Source organism: Homo sapiens, chromosome 16 (genome assembly GCF_000001405.40).
Source record: "Homo sapiens chromosome 16, GRCh38.p14 Primary Assembly".
Lineage (NCBI taxonomy): Eukaryota > Metazoa > Chordata > Mammalia > Primates > Hominidae > Homo > Homo sapiens.
In genome coordinates this window covers 19,501,303-19,522,853 of record NC_000016.10, presented here as the reverse complement: position 1 = coordinate 19,522,853, position 21,551 = coordinate 19,501,303, and the positions used below count along the sequence as shown (strand labels likewise).

Here is a 21,551-nt window from a genome sequence, read left to right as displayed (position 1 = left end):
TTATGTCAGTCCCCACCCTGCCATTAACTGCTTAATTCACCTATCCTCAGTTTCCGCATCTATGAAATAAGGGAATCCTTAAAACCCCTTCCAGTTTTATAATCCGATTGTGCCTTCTTTGCTAGGCTCTTCCAGTCCCCCAGAATCTGGAAAATAAAGTCGATTGAAATCAGTCTCCTGATAGTAACTGTTAGGCTGTATTGAGAATGAGATAAGCATATAAAGTGTTTGCTCGTCAAGTACCTGGGACATGGTAAGTGCTCTGTAAACGTTAGGTGTACTTGCTAACTTTTATTTCCTCCCACAAGAATGTGAATCCCATAAGAGCAAAAACCCTGTAGGTCCTGTTCAACTGTGTCCGGAGCACCTGGACCGGTATTTGGCACATCTTGAATTGAACTGAACTGAACTGAATTGAATTGAATTGAATTGATAGTCTAAGCATCCTGCCTCTCCAGGTTCCCTGGAATTCAGTTTCCTCAAGGGCAGATAAAGGAGTCACTAAAATCCCTTCCAGTCCTACAGCTTTAGGATGGTTCTTATCCCTCCTTTTCTCGCCTAGGAGTCTGAACGCCCAGGTTGAAGTTCAGACCTCGGAAAACCCTAACCCACCTTAGATTTGGAACGTGAGCCTGGGGCCTGGGGCCTGGGCCCTCCCCCGTTGCCATGGAGCGGCTCCGCCCACTGGCGCTGCGAATCCCGATCCCTGATTGGCTGGGCGGCCGACTCCCTCTCTGGATGTGTCTGCTGCCGCCATTGTGCGGCGCTGGTCCCCTCAGAGGGTTCCTGCTGCTGCCGGTGCCTTGGACCCTCCCCCTCGCTTCTCGTTCTACTGCCCCAGGAGCCCGGCGGGTCCGGGACTCCCGTCCGTGCCGGTGCGGGCGCCGGCATGTGGCTGTGGGAGGACCAGGGCGGCCTCCTGGGCCCTTTCTCCTTCCTGCTGCTAGTGCTGCTGCTGGTGACGCGGAGCCCGGTCAATGCCTGCCTCCTCACCGGCAGCCTCTTCGTTCTACTGCGCGTCTTCAGCTTTGAGCCGGTGCCCTCTTGCAGGGCCCTGCAGGTGCTCAAGCCCCGGGACCGCATTTCTGCCATCGCCCACCGTGGCGGCAGCCACGACGCGCCCGAGAACACGCTGGCGGCCATTCGGCAGGTGAGACCCCCACGTTCGCGCCCCTCGGTCCTCCCGAGAGCTCGGACTTCTACTTTTCCTTCCCAGGGTTCCCCGATCTTCTCAGGACGGCCTTCCCACTTCCTCATTCGTCCACAAGGCACACTCCCGGCCCTTGATCGCTCCCAGTGTCTAGGGATCTCCGGACTTGAGGTTTTATATTTACAGAAGACAGCAGATATGTATATAGTTTCTGTGCGCCTGACGCTAAGGTTACATACAGCCAGGAACAAGGTCAAAAGTGTCCCTGGTTTACAGAGTGTACATCGGAATGGGGGAGGCAAGCCTTAAACAAGTAAACACATAAATGAGATAACTTTAAGAGAGTGAAAGGTGCAATGAAGAAATCGGGGGAACTCGAAGGAAAGAGTTACGCTATTTTATTTAGATGGAATAGTCAAGAGAAATCGTCTCCGAAGAAGCAACATTTGAACAGAAACCGGAATTATAAGGAGCCAGGCAGGTGCAGAAGGTCCTGAGATGGGAATAATATAGGGGTGTTCAGGTAACAGAAGAGGCAGTGTGTGGCCTGACTTCAAGGAAGAGAACAAAGACTGGTGTGTGAATGAAGTAGAAAATGGGTCAGGTCAAATAGGTTCTTGGTCAGTAATTGAGGTTAGTCTAAATAGATCACCCTTCACAAGACATACGTTTGCTTGTCTTGTAAATCACTTGAGTCATTTCCTTATCACCTTTTCCCCAGACACACACATTCGCACTCGCACAACCCTGGCAGCTGGACTCACATCAGTTTCTGCCCCCTCCTTTTCACAAGGCACTCCTGAAACTTTTGATACCTCCCAGCTCTTGGCATTCTCCTAGCTTCATAATAATGACAGCTTACAGAGAGGGCTTTTCAGTGGATTAGGCACTTTTGCATCTGTGTAAATATATCTGATTCTCTTCTTTTTTATTTTTCTCTCTCTTCTTCCTTCCTTCTTCTTCTTTTTTTTTTTTTTACTTTACAGAGTCTCACTCTTTTACCCAGGCTGGAGGGCAGTGGTGCAATCTCCACGCACTGCAACCCCTGCCTCCCGTGTTCAAGCGATTCTCGTGCCTCAGCCTCCGGAGTAGCTGGGATTACAGGCGTGTGCCACCACGCCCAGCTAATTTTTGTATTTTTAGTAGAGATGGGGTTCTGCTATGTTGGCCAGACTGGTCTCAAACTCCTGGCCTCAAAGTGATCCACCCGCCTCGGCCTCCCAAGGTACTAGGATTACAGGCATGAGCCATCATGCCTGGCCTCCCTCATTTCCTTTTTTTTTCTTTTTTTTTTTCTTTTTTTTTAAACGAAGTCTCACTGTCTCCCAGGCTACAGTGCATCGGCGCAACCCCAGCTCACTGCAACCTCTGTATCCCAGGTTCAAGTGATTCTACTGCCTCAACCTCCCGAGTAGCTGCGATTACAGGCATGAGCCACCGTGCCCGGCCAAGATTTATACTTTTAAAGCTGCACTCTGGCCCATGTGGAGAATGTACTGTGGGTGTAATTTCATTCCTTTGCCACTGTTTATAGTAGTGTATCTGTTTTTGGAATACACTCAACTCACATTTATCAAGTTTTTCCTTCTATATCTCATTTATAATCTACCAGAAATTCTAGCACTGTCAGAAATGTATATATGTATGTATACATTCGACTTTACCAATAATTTTATTTATTTATTTATTTTTGAGACAGGGTCTCTCTCTGTCACCCAGGTTTGAGTGCAGTGGGGCGATCTCAACTCACTGCAACTTCCACCTCCCAGGTTGAAGCGATTCTTGTGCCTCAGGCTCCCAAGTAGCTAAGATTACAGATGTACTCCTCCACTCCCAGCTAATTTTTGTTTTTTGTTTTTAGTAGAGATGGTGTTTTGCCATGTTGGCAAGGCTGGTCTCAAACTCCTGACCTCAAGTGATCCACCTGCCTCAGTGGATTACAGAGTGCTGGGATTACAGGCAAAGTGCTGGGATCACAGGCATGAGCCACTGCCTGGCCAGCTTTACCAGTACTTCTATGTTATTCCAGTAATTGAGATAAAAAGATGAATCCCTGGTTCTAATTCACATATTAGTATATATAGGAGATATTGCAAGTTCAGTTCCAGACCTGAGTAAATAGTCAATAAAGCAAATATAGTAATAAAGGGAGTCACAAATTTTTTGGTTTCCCAGTGCATATAAAAGTTATGTTTACACTATATTGTAATCTATTAAGTATTGTGTATGTATATATATATATATATATATATATGCACATACACACACATATATAGGTTTTCATCCATGGTTCCTGGCTCATAACTCTCAGCCCTTGCTACAGTATTTTGTTAGGCATCCTAGGCCTTAGGAGCAGGCCTTGGGAAACAGAATCTCTCCTGCCCTCCTTTCACCTACCCCAAGGCAGGACTGGAATCTTTCCCTGTCTTTCAAATTGTGAGTCTTAAGACCCTCCTCAGAGAGGGACCCCACCCTATACCCTGGGGGAAGGAATGCTGACATCATGAAGCTTCCATAAAAACCTAAGAGGAATTAAAAAAATAAAAACTAAAATAAACCTAAGAGGACTTGAAGCCAATTGGTCAGAAGTTCCATAGGCCCCAGCTTGCTATTTGTGTCTGGAGGAGGGTGGGGTGCAGTCTTGGGGACCAAGCCCTCAACCTATGATCTGACACTATCTCCAGGTAGATAGTGTCAAAATTGAGTTGGAGGATACCCAGCTGGTGTCCACTACTTATTGGTGGGGAAAAACCCCCACATTTTTGGTCACAGACGTCGGGGTTGATTGTTGTGAGAGCAGAGGGAAAATGTGATGTGTTTTTCCAAAATAGTCGTACATCTGTATCACATGGGAAAAGGAAAAGATTTAAATAAAGCAGAAAAATCTCCACCCATAAAGGACGTTATTGATAAATTTGACTATATTACCTTTAAAGATGTGTTTAAAAGGACATAATAAATAACAATGGCTAACATTTATTGAAATCTTAACTATTCACTAGCACAGTGCTCTGTGTTGTTTATGGGTACTTAAATAAAAACCGGTAAGGGAGTGACATGAGAATGATATACACCAACTTTAAGATGGTAATTACCTCTGGAGAGGAAAGGAGGAGAATGAAAGGGAGAATTTCAGCTGTATCTGTAGTGTTGATAGTAAAACTGAAGCGGATAAGAGTGCAACTTCTACTGCATCCTAGCTTGTGCAGCCCTGGGCAAGTTTCCTACTCTTTCTTTGTCTCAGTTTTCTTATCTGTTAAATGAGAATATTAATAGTACCTGCTTCAGGGTTGTGAGGATCAAATAAGTTAATACATTTAAAGCACTTAGAAGAGTGCCTGGCAAGTAGAAAAGGCTCAATAAATAATAGTTTTTGTTTTTGTTTTTGTTTTAGTACAGAAAGAGACTGAGGAAATTAGGTCAAAATATTCACATATGTTAAATCTTTTTTACTGTAGATGTTTGCAATAGACCATGACTTAAAATATTTTTTAAAAAATTAAAAATCTTGATCATAGCTGGGCACAGTGGCTCACACCTGTAATCCCAGCACTTTGGGAGACTGAGGCAGGAGGATTGCTTGATCTCAGGAGTTCGAGACCAGCCTGGACAACATGGTGAAACCCCATCTCTACAAAAAATACAAAAATTAGCTGGGCATGGTGGCACGTGCCAGTAGTCCCGGCTACTTGGGAGACTGAGGTGGGAGGATGGCTTGAACCCAGGAGGCGGAGGTTTTAGTGAGCCGAGATCATGCCACTGCACTCTAGCCTGAACAACAGAGCCAGATCCTGTCTCCAAAAAAAAAAAAAAAGAAAGAAATCTTCATCGTAATGAGCATTTCACATCTTTATTGTGATGAGGAAGCCAAGGAAGCAAACATTAAATAGTGTGTCTCCAGAGGAGCATGGCTCGTGTAATTTAAGGTTCAAATTCTCTTTTTAGATAAATTCTAATCTACCTCATCAAGCTTAACAACTTATGGGCCAACAGCCAGTGCTGCTTACATAAACAAAATGTGATATGTCCTAGAAGCAGGCGTGGTGTCTTTGTGGTAGAGGGTGGAATTAAACCAACAAAAACCTGACTCATTTATGCCAAAGTAGTGAAATATCTGACTAATCAACAACCGTAGGGTGATCATCAGAACTGCTGTACCAACAAATAGTGTAGGTAAACAGTGGAATTGTCTAAGTATTCATAAGCCATTGATGACCCATATAGTTAAACATCCAGAGAAAACATAAGTTCCTGAAGTCTCCTAGTCTTCCACTGTGAAAGTAAGAAGAGTGGGAAAATTAAAGTTTTTAAGGAATCCATCAGTTAGGAATTGAAGTAAGGTTATATACACAGAAAACAGAAACAGATCAGGATTGCTGTTTGGTGGGGGAAGTGGAAGGAAAATGAATCAAAAAGGACAGCTGTCTTAGGAGCCCTGCTGGTCTTTTGGGTGGTTAGATGCAAAATAATGTTTGTGGCCATTTGACAGTAATATTCTTGATGTTTTTGTTAAGGCAGCTAAGAATGGAGCAACAGGCGTGGAGTTGGACATTGAGTTTACTTCTGACGGGATTCCTGTCTTAATGCACGATAACACAGTAGATAGGACGACTGATGGGACTGGGCGATTGTGTGATTTGACATTTGAACAAATTAGGAAGCTGAATCCTGCAGCAAACCACAGACTCAGGTAAGTAGTTTATTGTCACTTAAACAGATCTTTTAGCTTTTATTGGAAATGACAGACACTGGTGCCTTCTAATTACATCTGCCCCAGGAGAGTTGTCTTGTTTTGTTTTGAACTGTACGTAGGTCTTGTAAGTAATGAGCAAGTGCCAGGAACAACAGAAATTTGGCATTATGTTTTTAATCTTTCCCACTGAGGCTAAATTTGGCTTCAGAATTATTGTCAAGATAATACTGTCTAGTCATAGAATCATGAGGCTGAAAGTCATTGCTTGGCAATCTTCTTGCCTTCAGGTGTACCAAGAAGCAAATTATACATTCATTAAAAGCTTCAAGTAACATTATAATATCACATTTTAACTTAACCCATTTAATTCTTCTGATCCTCATAACAAACTTCTGAGGAATCACAGAATTGTAGGAATAGAGAGTATCCTAGAAATCATCTAGAATAGCACTTTGCAGTAGAACTTTCTGCAATGATGGAAATATTTTATATCTGCACTGTGTAATATGGTAGGTACTTGTGGCTATTGAGCACTTGATATGTGGCTAGTGACACGAGGAAGTGAATTTTTAATTTAAATGTAAATTTAAACTGAAATAGCCATGTGTGGCTACCATATAGGATACTACAGATCTAGATCAATCTTGCCTTTAGATATAATCCCAGAAAAGTTAAATTATTTACTCAAGGGCAAATAACTAGTTCATAAAGAAGCCAAAACTAGAATCTATCCCAAGTTTTAGTCCAAATCATGCTGTTTTTAGCTGCCCCCAATGTCTTTCAACCCTGTAAGAGCAAAAGTTCTTTCAGTGTCTAATTTAATTCCTTCCTGGTAGAGTGTAAACGTAGCTTCCAAAGTATATACACTAGAGCTAATCTTACAAGATGTTCTGCAAAAACAGGGTTCAAGTAAGATCAAACAGTGTATTCTGAATACTTCTGTTGTGGATAAACAGTCCACATCAGCTGATTCTTACTTGTAACTTAGCTTTTCTCAAACTTACATGATCACAGAACCTACATCCTCTTCCCCACTTACAGCGGTAAACACCCTTGGAATTGGTATGCTGAGTAATATACTGTACTTTGGAATGTGGTTATTTAAATCCCTCTCTGCTTGTCATCTTTGCAGTACTGAAAAGGGTGTGCTCACTGGTTATTCATGTAATATCAATTATCCAGACAATGATCGATTCTCTTGGAAAATTAAGTATTTGACCCAACAGTTAAGTTATACTTTTTCCTAAAAGATGATCCAGACCTGTTTTCCTAGGATCTGAAAAACATTAGTCTGCCGAAGGAAGTCATACTGTAGGCAGGAAAGAATATTGGTAACACTTGAGAATTATGAGTCCAAGTTGCTAGAATTGTTCTTGAGTGTCATCAGATACTGTATTGCTCTGCTTATGCAAGGGAAAGGCTGGTTTGAATATTATAATGACATTGCAGCTAATAAAATGTCAGGTTCAAAGTTAATACTTAAAGCAAAAATGTTTAGGGTCATCATTACCCTTAAAAATCCTTTAAGGGAGCACTGAGTCCATTTCTCTGGAATTTGTGCATCCTAGGAAAAAAAATTGTGATTTTCAAAAAATCCCTTAAGAAGACAGCAAAGGCAACATATTATCTCAGTGTCTTTAACACAACCAGTCTTTGCTCCACTATTGGAACAGAGTGTGTTCTATGATTGAAAACTAAATGAAGTAATTGGCTTGTGTTTACGGATTATGTTGTGGGAAAAAATAGATATTTTCTCTAGAATTATGCTCAGTGTGATGAGATGCTTGTCCTGAGAGGAGGATAAGGAGGAAACTAAGATCAGCCAAAGGAATAACAAATTCAGGTCTCCCATCTTTCACTCTCAGGGAATAGAAATTGATTAGAATGGCTGGGATAATTGCCTGTAATGTTTAAATTATCCTTATCTTTTTTTTTTTTTTTTTTGAGTTGGAGTTTCACTCTTGTTGCCCAGTTTGGAGTGCAATGGCATGATCTTGGCTCACTGCAACCTCCACCTCCCGGGTTCAAGTGATTCTCCTGCCTCAGCCTCCAGAATGCTGGGATTACAGGCACATGCCACCACACCCAGCTAATTTTTGCATTTTTAGTAGAAACGGGGTTTCGCCATGTTGGCCAGGCTGGTCTCGAACTCCTGACCTCAGGTGATCTGCCTGCCTCAGCTTCCCAAAGTGCTGAATTTACAGGCATGAGCCCACTGTACCTGGCCTATCCTTACCCTTTTTTAAAAGCATGATCTTACAGTTGAAATAATGCAGTTGAATTAGCATTAAGTTAAATAATAATTTTATTATGAGAGAAAAGCTAATTTCTTTTGTATCAAGCACTTAGTTTTCATTTTCTTTATCAGAAAATTATGTCTTAGAACATTATTTATTTTAAACAGTTGCACTTAAATAAATACACAATACAGTTAACAGATTTATGTATTCCTAAGAATTCCTCCTGCATAGCATTCTATTAGGGAAATTACAATCTGAAAATTAAGTCTTTGAGTTTTCCAAAGGTGGCATATACTCTGCCCTTTGGGAAGTAGGGTTATTAATAATGTTATTAATTCAATAGAAATTCAGTGATTTCTTAAAAATTAAATGATTTTTGTTGTTGTTGCTGGTCTTTGGTCAAGAATATCTGTATTTGAACACATGGAGGTTCCTGAATGATGGAGCACTCAGAAAGGGCATGGAAGCTCTATGCCCCTTTCCCCATACCTCACCCTATGCATGTCTTCATCTGTATGCTGTGTAACATACTTTATAATAAACCTGTAAACGTGTTTGAGTTCCGCAAGCCACTCTAACAAATTAATTGAACCCAAGGAGGAGGAGGTGGGAACCCCAATTTATAGCTAGTGTCAGAAGCACAGAATTACCAGAAAAGGAAAACAAATCAAAACAAAACAAAACAAAAAACAGAAAAATAACATCCATTATACAATATAAGAAACCAAAGACCATCAATCTCTAATCTCTGTGCTCAGGTGTCTGTGTGCTTCAATTCTTCTCATCTACGAGTCTTGGGTTTTCAATGCTCACTTGTCACCAGGATATGAATTAAAAATGTCTTGGGCACCACCATGTGGTCCAGTTGTCTTAACCTTTCTAAAAGTGCTTGTGCAAACCATTTACTTGTTGCTTCTTACACAATTACAGCCCAACCTACTTGTGTTTAAAAGCAACCACAGCATGTTTGAAAGTCTTATGCAATAAAAGGGAAGTTTATGATTACATTTAGTCTGTACTTACTGGATACTTTCAGTTTTATCAGTTCCAAGTACAGCAAACTCTGGATAATATGGTTAATTACTTCCTCCATGATTCTTTCGACCTTCATATCAATTTTGCTAAATATGGAATGATTGACTAGCCAGAGCAATCAGGAAAGAGAAAGAAATAAAAGGCATCCAAATTGGAAAAAGAGGAAGTCAGATTGTACCTCTTTGCTGACAACATGATTTTGTATGTAGAAAAACCTAAAGACTTCACCAAAAAACTGTTAAAACTGATAAACAAATTTAGTAAAATTGCAGGATATAAAATCAACGTACAAAAATCAGTAGCATGTCTATACGTAAATAATGAACTAGCTGTAAAAGAAATCAAGAAAGTAATCCCATTTACATAGCTACCAAAAAAAAAATAACAAAATACCTAGGAATAAATATAACCAAAGAGGTGAAAGAGCTCTTACAAGGAAAACTACAAAACACTGATGAGAAAACTTAAGAGGACACAAATGGAAAGACATCCCATGCTCATGGATCAGAAGAATTAATATTCCTAAAGTGACCATTCTACTCAAAATAATTTACAATTCAGTGCAATCCCTATCAAAATATCAAAGACATTCTTCAGAGAAATAGAAAAGCAACAATCCTAAAATTCATATGGAACCGTAAAGAAGCCCAAATAGCTAAAGCAATACTGAACAAAAAGGACAAAGCTGGACATATCACACTACCTCATTTCAAGATATACTACAAAGCCACAGTAACCAAAACAGCATGGTATTGGTATAAATACTGACACACACACACACACACACACACACACACACACACACACAAAACAGATACATAGACCAGTGGAATACAATAGAGAACCAAGAAATAAATCCATATATTTACAGCCAACTGATTTTCCATGAAGGCACCAAGAACATTACAGTGGGGGAAAGGAACTCTCTTCAATAACTGGTACTGGGTAAACTGGATATCCATATGCAGGATAATGAAACTAGACCCCTATCTCTCACTATATTTAAAAAATCAACACAAAATGGATTAAAAGTTTAAATTTAAGACCAGAAACTATAAAACTACTAGAAGAAAACACAGGGGAAAAGCTCTGGGACATTGATCTAGGCAAAGATTTTATGGCTAAGACCTCAAAAGCACAGGCAACAAAAACAGGCAAATGTGACTATATTAAACTAAAAAGCTTCTGCACAGCAAAGGAAATAATCAACAGAGTAAAAAGAAAACCTGTTGAATAGGAGAAAATATTTGCAAACTATTCAACAGACAAGTAACTAATATCCAGAATATACAAGGAACTTAACAGCAAAAACAATAATAATCCCATTAAAAACATCTATTCAAATCCTAATTTGAATAAACATTTTTCAAAAGAGGACACACAAATGGCCAACAGGCATATGAAAAAACACCACAAATTATTAGGGAAATGCAAATCAAAACCACAATGAAGTACCATCTTATCTAGTTAGAATGGCCATTATTTAAAAGATTTTTAAAATAACAGATGCTGGCGAGGATACAGAGCAAAAGGAACTCTTATATTCTGTTGGTGGGAATGTAAATTAGTACAGCCATTATGGAAAACAGTATGGAGGTTTCTCAAAAAACTAAAAATATAGAACTACCATACAATCCAGTAATCCCACTAGTTGGTATCTATCCAAAAGAAAGGAAACTAGTGTATCAAAGGCATACTTGCACCCCCATGTTTATTGCAACACTATTCACAATAGCCAAGATACAGAATCAACCTAAGTGTTCATCAGTGGATGAATGGATAAACTGTGGTAAATATACTCAATGGAATACTATGTAGTTAGCCATAAAAAAGGATGATATCCTGTCATTTACAGCAACATGGATGGAACTGAAGGTATTATGTTAAATGAAATAAGATAAGCCAGGCACAGAAAGGCAAATATTACATGTTGTCACTCATATATGGGAGCTAAAAAAGTTGATCTCATGGAGGTAGAGAGGAGAATGATAGTTACCAGAGGCTGGGAAGGGTTTGGGGTTGGGGGAAGAGGAGAATAAGGAGAATTTGGTTAATGAGTACAAACATACAGTTCGATAGAAGGTATAAATTCTAGTGTTCAATAACATAGTAAAGTGATTATAGTTAACAATCTGTTGTATATTTCAAAATAGCTAGGAGATTTAGATGTTCCTAACACAAAGAAATGATAAATATTTGGGGTGATGGACATCCTAAATACCCTGATTTTATCATTATACATTATGCGCATATCACAAAAATATGTCTAAGTGTATAGCAATAAAAATGTGGAAAAAAGAATATCTATAATTTGGTTCAAATTATTACAGTAGGACAGGCGCAGTGGCTCACACCTGTAATCCTAGCACTTTGGGAGGCCAAGGCAGGTAGATCACTTGAGGTCAGGAGTTCAAGACCAGCCTGGCCACCATGGTGAAACCCCGCCTCTACTAAAAACACAAAAAATTAGCCAGGCGTGGTGTCACACGCCTGTAGTCCTAGCTACTTGGGAGGCTGGGGCGGGAGAATTGCTTGAACCTGGGAGTTGGTAGTTCCAGTGAGCTGAGATTGCACCACTGCACTCCAGGCTGGGCAACAGAGCAAGACTCCGTCTCAAAAAAAAAAAAAAAAATCTTAAAGTAAAGTATCTTTGGACTTTGCTATGGTCGAAAAAAGGAAGTTGGAGAAAACACTCTTTCCTTTTGATTGAGAGACATATGCAAAATGTTTGTTGCAATACAGTTTATCTGTTTCTCTTTTTTCCTACAACGTATTTTCTCTTCTCTTACAGGAATGATTTCCCTGATGAAAAGATCCCTACCCTAAGGGAAGCTGTTGCAGAGTGCCTAAACCATAACCTCACAATCTTCTTTGATGTCAAAGGCCATGCACACAAGGTACAGTTTAAATTGTGGACTTCACTTTGTTAAAAAGACATCTTATTTCATTGACGGTCATTTCCGAAGTTACATATATTTTGTTATTTATTCTTTTTAAAACTTATTTTTATAAATTGTATTTGTTTAATGGAAGTGTACAATGCAGGAATCTATATCATTTAAGGAAACAGTGCATTATGGAACTTTTTAACCTTTTATGGAAACTTTACAAAACCAGCATAAAATGGAAGAGTCAAGTTTCTATTATTTACATAAAGCATTTACAAAAGATATTAAGTAAACAGTAAAAAAGACATTTCTAGAAAAAAACCACTGTAGTAACCTTGAGTTACTTGAAAAAAAGGAATTCCGAAGTTGTACACAAGACCAATTTTATCTAGCTTAAAAGTTAAGGGCCTTATATGGACAACTATGGACTGCATTTAAAGAGAATTCCTATATTAAAAGCTTCTAATAGTTAACAGAACATATACCTTTTACATAGATTTATCCCTTTGTATAATTTATATCCCTTATGTATAGTTTTTTATTCATTGATTTTAGCAGTTATACTTTTATCAGAAAATCATTTATTTTCTTCAAATGTATTTGACATTCCTAGATAAAATTTTGCTTAAATTTTAGGGCCTGCACTTACACTCATAAGAACATATTATTACAGTGAAAATCAGTGGGAAGATATGATTCTGATTACATTTGTTCTCTTATAACCAGCTTTTCAAGTGCAAGTACTTTTTTCCCCATTTGGGCAACTTGAGTATTTTTCCCCTAGCAATATTAATAATCGGTAAGGGCCATCTACTGGTTGAGAATTCTGATGATGCCAATTTTTTTTTTTAATTAATCCCATGATATCATTGAAACCAGTTGTTAAAACCCAAAATGGGCCGGGTGCAGTGGCTCACACCTGTAATCCCAGCACTTTGGGAGTGGATCACCTGAGGTCAGGAGTTCGAGACCAGCCTGGCCAACATGGTGAAACCCCTGTCTCCACTAAAAATACAAAAATTAGCTGGACTTGGTGGCGGGCACCTGTAATCCCAGCTACTCGGGAGGCTGAGGCAGGAGAATCGCTTGAACCGGGGAGACAGAGGTTGCACTGAGCCGAGATTGCGCCAGTAGTACTCCAGCCTGGGTGACAGAGCGAGACTCCGTCTCAAAAAAAAAAAAAAAACCTGAAATGTGGAGCCTAAGTATACACTCTAATTTTATTAACAGTTAATTCCTATTTTTGAAGAAGGAAGATAATGGTAACTAATTTATTATTCTAGTAAACCGATAGTTGTATACGTCTAGGTTTTCCAATTGGTCTGCGTTAGAATCACCTGTACCTATTTTAAAATATAAATTCCTGGGCCATTCTCCCTAGGGAAGAGATTCTGAAAATGTCTAGGGTGGGCTCAAGGAACATGTATTTTTAATGAGCACCTCAGGTGCTCATTGTTGATGTTGCAGCCCACATTTGGGAACCCTGATAGGTCCTACATTTCACCCATGGTATACTGACTTTTATGCTTATTCTCTTAGATTTTTTGAGACAGAGTCTCACTCTGTCACCTAGGCTGGAGTGCATTGGCGCGATCTCGGCTCAATGCAACCTCTGCCTCCGGGGTTCAAGCAATTCTCCTGCCTCAGCCTCCCAAGCAGCTGAGATTAGAGGCATGTGCCATCACACCCGGCTAATTTTTGTATATTTAGTAGAGATGGGGTTTTGCCATGTTGGCCAGGCTGGTCTCAAACTCCTGGCCTCGAGTGATCCGCCCACCTTGGCCTCCCAAAGTGCTGGGATTACAGGTGTGAGCCACCACGCCTGGCTTCTCTTAGAATACTTTTTAAAAAGAAGTAGACATTTAAAAAAGAAAATCTAGCTATTTGAGTCTTCTGAATGGGTGCTCATGGGTGTTCAGCCAAGACTGGGTAGAACATAGTGACCTAATTCACCAAGATGGTAGTAGAAAGGCACAAGTGTAGGCAACAAAGTGGAGCTAGTAGAGCACAGTGGCCAAAATCATGGGCTTGGGACTCCAACAGTCCTTGACTGAGCTCTTACTACAGGGTAACCTTAACTTTGATGAGCTTCAGTTTCTTCATGGGTAAAATGGGGATACTAAAAGCAGTTACCACATAAGGTTGTTGTGAGAATTAAATAATGTAAATGCTAAGAGTTTACAGTGCATGTCTTTGTTCAAACAGAAAAAAAAATGCTTTCTATAGCTTGCCTTCAGTTGCATTAGCGAAGAGGAGGCATGACATGGATAATTTGTGTCCTTTTTTATTTTGGTGGGGGAATGCATTTTGCTCATCATATTTGGTTAGGGGTATGTGTAACATTCCAAAAATTAGCAGTGTTTCACAAATTATGCAGCAGCAGCATTGCGTCCCACATGGCTGGTGACTTTCTTGTTGTTAGCTGCTATTGATGTCACTTCACTAGGGGTTACCAAATAATACTTAAATTCTATCATGTCTTCTTCATTTCGTAGCTAGACTACTATAAAAAGAAACTTCTGTTCACCTTGGGAAGAATTGGGAGCCCCTTAACTCTTCCCAGTCCCTCCTACCCTTGCCCCATTACTTCTCCCTCCATATTGGTGATGGGTAATGCGTCCTCTCAGTCCCCTGGACTGAGAAATCTATCCTCTGTAGTTCCCAGACTGGCTGGCTCATGTTTCATTTAGAAAAGGCACAGAGTGATAGAGCTGTGGGTATGAAAGGACTTTTCATAGTGGCTAAACTAGGGTATAAGGCAAGGAAAATTTTGCCTCTGGCCTCATCTGACCTACGGCTTACCACACTTTTCAAAAGTATTCCAAAAGGGGTGAGGCCCTCAGAGGGAGTAAAGCAGCAGTACTCCACCTTCTTCCTTGTTTGCTGCTGGTGTGAGTTTAAAATGCATCCCAGTGGATAATAGACTCTACCAATACTTTCAGTACCTCCATTTCTAGTAAACTTCTGTTTTATTCCATAGGGTTGTACTTAATATGTGATAGTTATTGGCTGGGGCTATCTATCACATTTTAATCAATTTTAAATATATGAATCTCTTTATTTTACAGGCTACTGAGGCTCTAAAGAAAATGTATATGGAATTTCCTCAACTGTATAATAATAGTGTGGTCTGTTCTTTCTTGCCAGAAGTTATCTACAAGGTAACATTCGGGATTTTTCTTGTACATATTAGGTGAGCTGGTGTAGATAATTGCAATGGGCTGCGTAAGCACAGGATAGATGCCTATTAAATTGAACTGCATCAGGGTCACAGTTGAGAAGCTCCTCTTTTAAATTAACCAGAGAAATTCCAGAAGGGGAATGTACTCATACCCCTTACAGAATGCCATTATTCCTCTTTTGCCCCTTCTTTTATGTTGTTTATAGGCTCACTCAGATTACTGTAGTAAAATTCTCACAACAGAAAAGAATTATGTAGCCCCTACTTCTCACCAACTAACAGCAGAACATACCTTCATAAAATAAATTCTTAATTATGGAGAATCTAAAACATGCATAAAATAAAGTAGTAGTGTACCCCCCCTTTAACTGTGATCCAGCTCATTTCACCCATAACCCCATTGATCCTCCCCAGTGTTATTTTGAAGCAAATCTTATTCCATCCATAAAATTGCATTAAGAATCTTTAAAAAGTGATGCCATTTTATTTATTTATTTATTTATTTATTTATTTATTTATTTATTTTAAAAGACGGGTTCTCCCTCAGTTTCCCAGGCTGGAGTGCAGTGGTGTGATCACAGCTCACTGCACTCTTGACCTTCCAGGCTCAAATGATCCTCCTGCCTCAGCCTTCCAAGTAGCTGGGACCACAGGCGCACGTCACCACGCCCAGCTAATTTTTTATTTTTATTTTTTGTAGAGACAGGGTCTCCCTGTATTACCCAGGCAGTTCTCCAACTCCTAAGCTCAAGCAATCCTTCCACCTCAGCCTCTCAAAGTGCTGGGATTACAGGCATGAGCCACAGTAACCAGCCTAGTGATGCCTTTTTAAAAACATAGCCACAATGCCATTGTCCCATCTAAAAATTATTAACAATAAATTATTCATATCATCAAATATCCAGTGTATAAATTTTGACTTGTCTCGGAAATGTCATAAATGGTTGTTTTTCATAAATTGCTCATTCGAATAGGACCCAAGTAAGATCGGCGTGTTACAATCGTAAATCTTTTTTTGTTTGTTTTTGAGACGGAGTCTTGCTCTGTCGCCCAGTGGTATGATCTCGGCTCATCGCAACCTCTGCCTCCCGGGTTCAAGCAATTCTCTTGCCTCAGCCTCCTGAGTAGCTGGGATTACAAGCACACACCACCATGCCTGGCTAATTTTTTTTGTATTTTAGTAGAGACGGGGTTTTGCCATGTTGGCCAGGCTGGTCTCGAGCTCCTGACCTCAGGTGATCTGCCTGCCTCGGCCTCCCAAAATGATTACAGGTGTGAGCCACTATGCCCTGCCGGCAACTGTAAATCTTAAAACTTGCAGGTTCTGTCTCTCTCTCTCTCTGTTTTTTTTGTTTGTTTGTTTTGGGGGGGGTCCTTGTTTTGTATTTACTGAAGAAACCGGATTATTGTTTTGTAGAGTTTACCCAAGTCCAAATTTTGCTGATTATGCCATGATATGGCTTAATATTTTTTTCTCTTTATTTTCTATAAACTGGTAGCGAGAGCTGGAAGCTTGCCTTGATGAGGTTAGGGTTGGTTATTCTTGGCAAGATAACTCTAGAGATGAGGGTGTTTTTCCGTCAGGAGGCACTTGACATCTGGTTGACTCCTGTTGTTTTTGGCTGCTATTGATGCTCATTGGCCAGATCTGTCCATTTTCTAGGGAGCTACAAAATGCTGATATTTTAATTCTATTACTTCTTGCATTAGCTGAAATAGATCTTTAAAAAGAAACTTTTCCTCCTCTACTATTTAGTTACCAAATAGGCAGAATAAATGCTTTATCTTTCCTTTTATTTACCAGTTTCCAGAATAACAAGCTGGTTCCGTAGCATTCTTTACCAGTGACCAACAGAGCATACATTGAAAATTTTTACAGTGAGGATAGAGCCTATCAATAGAAGCTGTCATGGAGTTGAATAGGGTCATGGGGCTTGCAGACATTTGGAACAGTGTTTCCCAAACTTCCTTGACCACAGAGTCCTTTAAAACGTATAAGACATTCCCCCAGAGGAGCACAAGAGCAGAGACTAAAGGAACTCCATCCACATCTCTCCATTTCTCTGTTGTCCTCTCCCATTCTCTCGTCACAATCCCTTCTCTCCCTTCCCACCTCACTTCCCCATCCCCCTCCTCACCCCTACAACTCTTCAGCCATTTGCTCTGGAAAGGGTCAAAACTAAACAGCCCATCTTGAACTGACCTTGGTTCCCTCCTCATTGAGTTCTAATTAATTATCTCTGGCCAGGATTTAAGTCAATAGCCAATTAAAAGTTTATTCTCATGACATTATTAAAATTTGATCCTGAAGTTTTAATTTTTCCATTTTAAAGATAGGATTGCAGTTTTTAAGGACTGGGAAAAAAAAGTTCTCATATGTGCTGCATATTAGTGCTTTACATTCTTCACATTATTTTCTCAAAGGGTTTATGATTGAGAACTTATTTAGTAGATACCGGGGCAGGGTACCAACCATGACCACCTCATCTGATTGAGCACATTGGCTAAATCTAAACTAATAAGTATTCAACTTTACATATGATCATTATTTTACTTCCCCAAATTCCTTTGCAGATGAGACAAACAGATCGGGATGTAATAACAGCATTAACTCACAGACCTTGGAGCCTAAGCCATACAGGAGATGGGAAACCACGCTATGATACTTTCTGGAAACATTTTATATTTGTTATGATGGACATTTTGCTCGATTGGAGCATGCATAATATCTTGTGGTACCTGTGTGGAATTTCAGCTTTCCTCATGCAAAAGGATTTTGTATCCCCGTAAGTTGGAAGGTTTTTTATTTTACCCAGACAGACATCCTGAATGCTCTTATTTGAAAGGAAGGATTAACAGAGTAGACAACCTGAATTGGTTCTGACCTGCAAAGCTTACCATACCTCTAAATTGGATTACCAATTTCGCTTCTTAGGTGGGAAGAGTTCAGGCATATTTCACTGTTTTCAGACCGAGTCGATCACATATTTTCGGTTTTTTAGTGTATTTTGAAGAAAAAAAATGAACCTGTGACACTATGCTGAGCAAGGGATTTTATTTCTGTGACTGGTTTTTTTGAAAGCCAACACAGGATCCTGGGCAGAACCACAGTGAAGACATCCTGTGGGCACCAGCCTCCCCACTACCGTCTTATGTTATAGGCACTCCCCCACCTCTCCCCATAAAATTTCCATTTCCTAACCTGCTAGCGATCTCGGAATCATTTCTTTGGCAATTCTGTATCTGTATATTTCAGCTAATTAGAGTTGTAGGTCTAGTATTATTTCAGACATACATGATTCAGTTCAATAAATATTTGGTAAGTGCCTATACTATTGCAAGGTTCCATGTTGAGAAGCTGAAGATGCAGTGGGTAAAGAATCAAAGCCATGATCTCTGCCCTCGTGACGTTTATAGCCAAGTGGGAGAGTGAGAGATGCTAATCAAATAAAAATCCAATCAATATAAAGTTAAAACTAAGATACAGGCTATGTCAGAGAAAACTGTGCATGGGCTATAATCTAATCTGGTCTGGGTTGTCAGAAACAGCATCCCCAAGGAAGTGACAGTTAAGCTAAGATCTGAAGGGTGAGTGGGAATTGGGAGGAATCCAGATCAGAGAGAAAAATACATGTAATGTGCTCTGGCAGGAAGGAACATGGTTCTTTCCAGGAAGTGAAAGAAAATTAATATTCTTTCAATTAATTTAAAATTAATCAGCACAGAAAAGAAAGGGGGAATGTGGTGTGAGATGAAGCCAAGGAGACAGGTCGGGGCCAGGTCAGGCACACCTTCAGTGGCTGTGCCAAGGACATTTGGGGGTGGCGATCATTAGTGAGCTACTGAAATGTTTTAAGCTGGGACAGTGTAGAGGAGGTTCATGGCATCCTGGGTTTTGGAACAGTCCCTCTGATCACAGTGCAGAGGCCAGTTAGGAGGCATTCTCTGGGCACCATTGGTATGCAGTGAACACCATACTTAGTGGCCATTATGGATTCCTGAGACAGCTGCTTATTATTCTAACAGGATTGGCTTTCCTCTTTCCCCAGGGCCTACTTGAAGAAGTGGTCAGCTAAAGGAATCCAGGTTGTTGGTTGGACTGTTAATACCTTTGATGAAAAGAGTTACTACGAATCCCATCTTGGTTCCAGCTATATCACTGACAGCATGGTAGAAGACTGCGAACCTCACTTCTAGACTTTCACGGTGGGACGAAACGGGTTCAGAAACTGCCAGGGGCCTCATACAGGGATATCAAAATACCCTTTGTGCTAGCCCAGGCCCTGGGGAATCAGGTGACTCACACAAATGCAATAGTTGGTCACTGCATTTTTACCTGAACCAAAGCTAAACCCGGTGTTGCCACCATGCACCATGGCATGCCAGAGTTCAACACTGTTGCTCTTGAAAATCTGGGTCTGAAAAAACGCACAAGAGCCCCTGCCCTGCCCTAGCTGAGGCACACAGGGAGACCCAGTGAGGATAAGCACAGATTGAATTGTACAGTTTGCAGATGCAGATGTAAATGCATGGGACATGCATGATAACTCAGAGTTGACATTTTAAAACTTGCCACACTTATTTCAAATATTTGTACTCAGCTATGTTAACATGTACTGTAGACATCAAACTTGTGGCCATACTAATAAAATTATTAAAAGGAGCACTAAAGGAAAACTGTGTGCCAAGCATCATATCCTAAGGCATACGGAATTTGGGGAAGCCACCATGCAATCCAGTGAGGCTTCAGTGTACAGCAACCAAAATGGTAGGGAGGTCTTGAAGCCAATGAGGGATTTATAGCATCTTGAATAGAGAGCTGCAAACCACCAGGGGGCAGAGTTGCATTTTTCCAGGCTTTTTAGGAAGCTCTGCAACAGATGTGATCTGATCATAGGCAATTAGAACTGGAAGAAACTTCCAAAAATATCTAGGTTTGTCCTCATTTTACAAATGAGGAAACTAAACTCTGTGGAAGGGAAGGGGTTGCCTCAAAAGTCACAGCTTAGCTGGGCACAGTGGCTCATGCCGATAATCCCAGCAATTCAGAAAGCTGAGGCAGGAGGATTACTTGAGGCCAGACTGGGCAATATAGCAAGACCCCATCTCTAAAAAATTAGGCATGGTGGTGCATGCCTGTATTCCCAGCTACTCAGGAGGTTGAGGTGGGAGGATCACTTGAGCCCAGAAGTTCAAGGCTGCAATGAGCCATGATTACACCACGGCACTACAACCTTGGTGGCACAGTGAGAACCTGACTCTTAAAAAAAAAAAAAAAAAAAAAAAAAAAAAGATAACTAGAACTTCTAGAACATCTTGTTTACAGTTAGCCAGAAACTATACAAGTGGTTTAACATGCATTATCTTACTCAATCCATACAAAAGTCTTATGGAGGTGTTAGCACTCTTTCTACTGATGAAGAACTGAGGTACTTCATAAAACCACTTACCCAAGGTGTCTTGAGTCTGGTACAACTGGCATTCAAATCTAGGTCAGTCTGCCCCCAGAGCCACTACCCTTACCCCTCACTGAATCTGCCTTTATATTGTTGAGCCCATGACCCCAAACTGCTCTTTCCAATTTGAACTTCCAGGGATTTTATTGTGAACTTACATAGCAACATTAAAATGAAGTTGAATTGTTTTTAATGGCAACGCCGTCTGTCTCCTCTAGCTTACCGCTTCTCACCTTTCAACCCCATCTGTGGCCTTTGTCCAGGCCCACAGCTTAGCCATGGCTTCCCTCCTGCATCCCTGCCGTGGGTTGCTGGCCTCACACTTGCAGCAGCTGGACAGTGATTTTAGAAGGCCACCAGTCCCCATAGCTATGTGACAATGAGAAGCAAACTTTTTTGTGACAGATTGTATTGGCATAGGCATGATAGATGGGGATTGGTACGTTTTGAATCAGCATTTGCAAAAAAATTGTCTTGAATTTTAAAATAAACAACAAAGATTTGTTCATTGAGTGCAACAAATGTCTAAACTGCATGTACTTCCGTGCCATGTTATGACTAGAGTGAAAGGAGGAGGAAAAAGTGACCAAAGAAGATACATCAGGCCAGGCGTGATGGCTCATACCTGTAATCCCAGCACTTTGGGAGCTGAGGTGGGTGGATCACTTGAGGCCAGGAGTTTGAGACCAGCCTGGCCATGATGGGGAAACCCCATCTCTACTAAAAATACAAACATTAGTTGGGCATGGTGGCACATGCCTGTAATCCCAGCTATTCAGGAGGCTGAAGCAAGGAGAATTGCTTGAACCCAGGAGTCAGAGGTTGCAGTGAGCCAAGATTGTACCACTGCACTCCAGCCTAGGCCAGAGAGCAAGACTCTGTCTCAAAAAAAAAAAAAAAAAAAAAAA

The 21,551-nt window shown here is 40.5% G+C and overlaps 1 protein-coding gene across 4 annotated transcripts, besides 4 other annotated features; it reads left to right on the top strand.

Moving 5' to 3' along the window:
- Positions 555–1,289: an enhancer, noted in NCBI's record as "H3K27ac hESC enhancer chr16:19532887-19533621 (GRCh37/hg19 assembly coordinates)". NCBI's record gives its function as "activates a minimal SCP1, AML or CMV promoter by ChIP-STARR-seq in naive H9 embryonic stem cells {active_cell/tissue: H9 hESC(naive)}" and the evidence as "EXISTENCE:reporter gene assay evidence [ECO:0000049][PMID:30033119]".
- Positions 756–21,161, top strand: GDE1 (glycerophosphodiester phosphodiesterase 1). Of its 4 annotated transcripts, none has more exons than NR_136689.2 (6): positions 756–1,150; positions 5,665–5,840; positions 11,910–12,015; positions 15,075–15,199; positions 17,762–17,973; positions 19,237–21,161. NR_136689.2 is itself a non-coding variant. In NM_001324066.2 (6 exons), exons 2-6 carry the CDS (start codon positions 5,734–5,736, stop codon positions 19,382–19,384), a joined length of 666 nt encoding a protein of 221 aa, NP_001310995.1. In that variant the 5' UTR covers positions 756–1,150; positions 5,669–5,733; the 3' UTR covers positions 19,385–21,161. The 4 variants fall into 4 exon arrangements, 3 of the variants coding, with proteins under 3 accessions (NP_001310995.1, NP_057725.1, NP_001310996.1); NM_001324066.2 differs by having other exon boundaries at positions 5,669–5,840; positions 15,075–15,167; NM_016641.4 differs by having other exon boundaries at positions 15,075–15,167.
- Positions 795–964: a silencer, noted in NCBI's record as "silent region_7245". NCBI's record gives its function as "represses an Ori minimal core promoter by ATAC-STARR-seq in GM12878 lymphoblastoid cells {active_cell/tissue: GM12878}" and the evidence as "EXISTENCE:reporter gene assay evidence [ECO:0000049][PMID:35858748]".
- Positions 1,075–1,244: an enhancer, noted in NCBI's record as "active region_10531". NCBI's record gives its function as "activates an Ori minimal core promoter by ATAC-STARR-seq in GM12878 lymphoblastoid cells {active_cell/tissue: GM12878}" and the evidence as "EXISTENCE:reporter gene assay evidence [ECO:0000049][PMID:35858748]".
- Positions 1,415–1,474: an enhancer, noted in NCBI's record as "active region_10530". NCBI's record gives its function as "activates an Ori minimal core promoter by ATAC-STARR-seq in GM12878 lymphoblastoid cells {active_cell/tissue: GM12878}" and the evidence as "EXISTENCE:reporter gene assay evidence [ECO:0000049][PMID:35858748]".
- Positions 21,162–21,551: the final 390 nt, after the last annotated feature.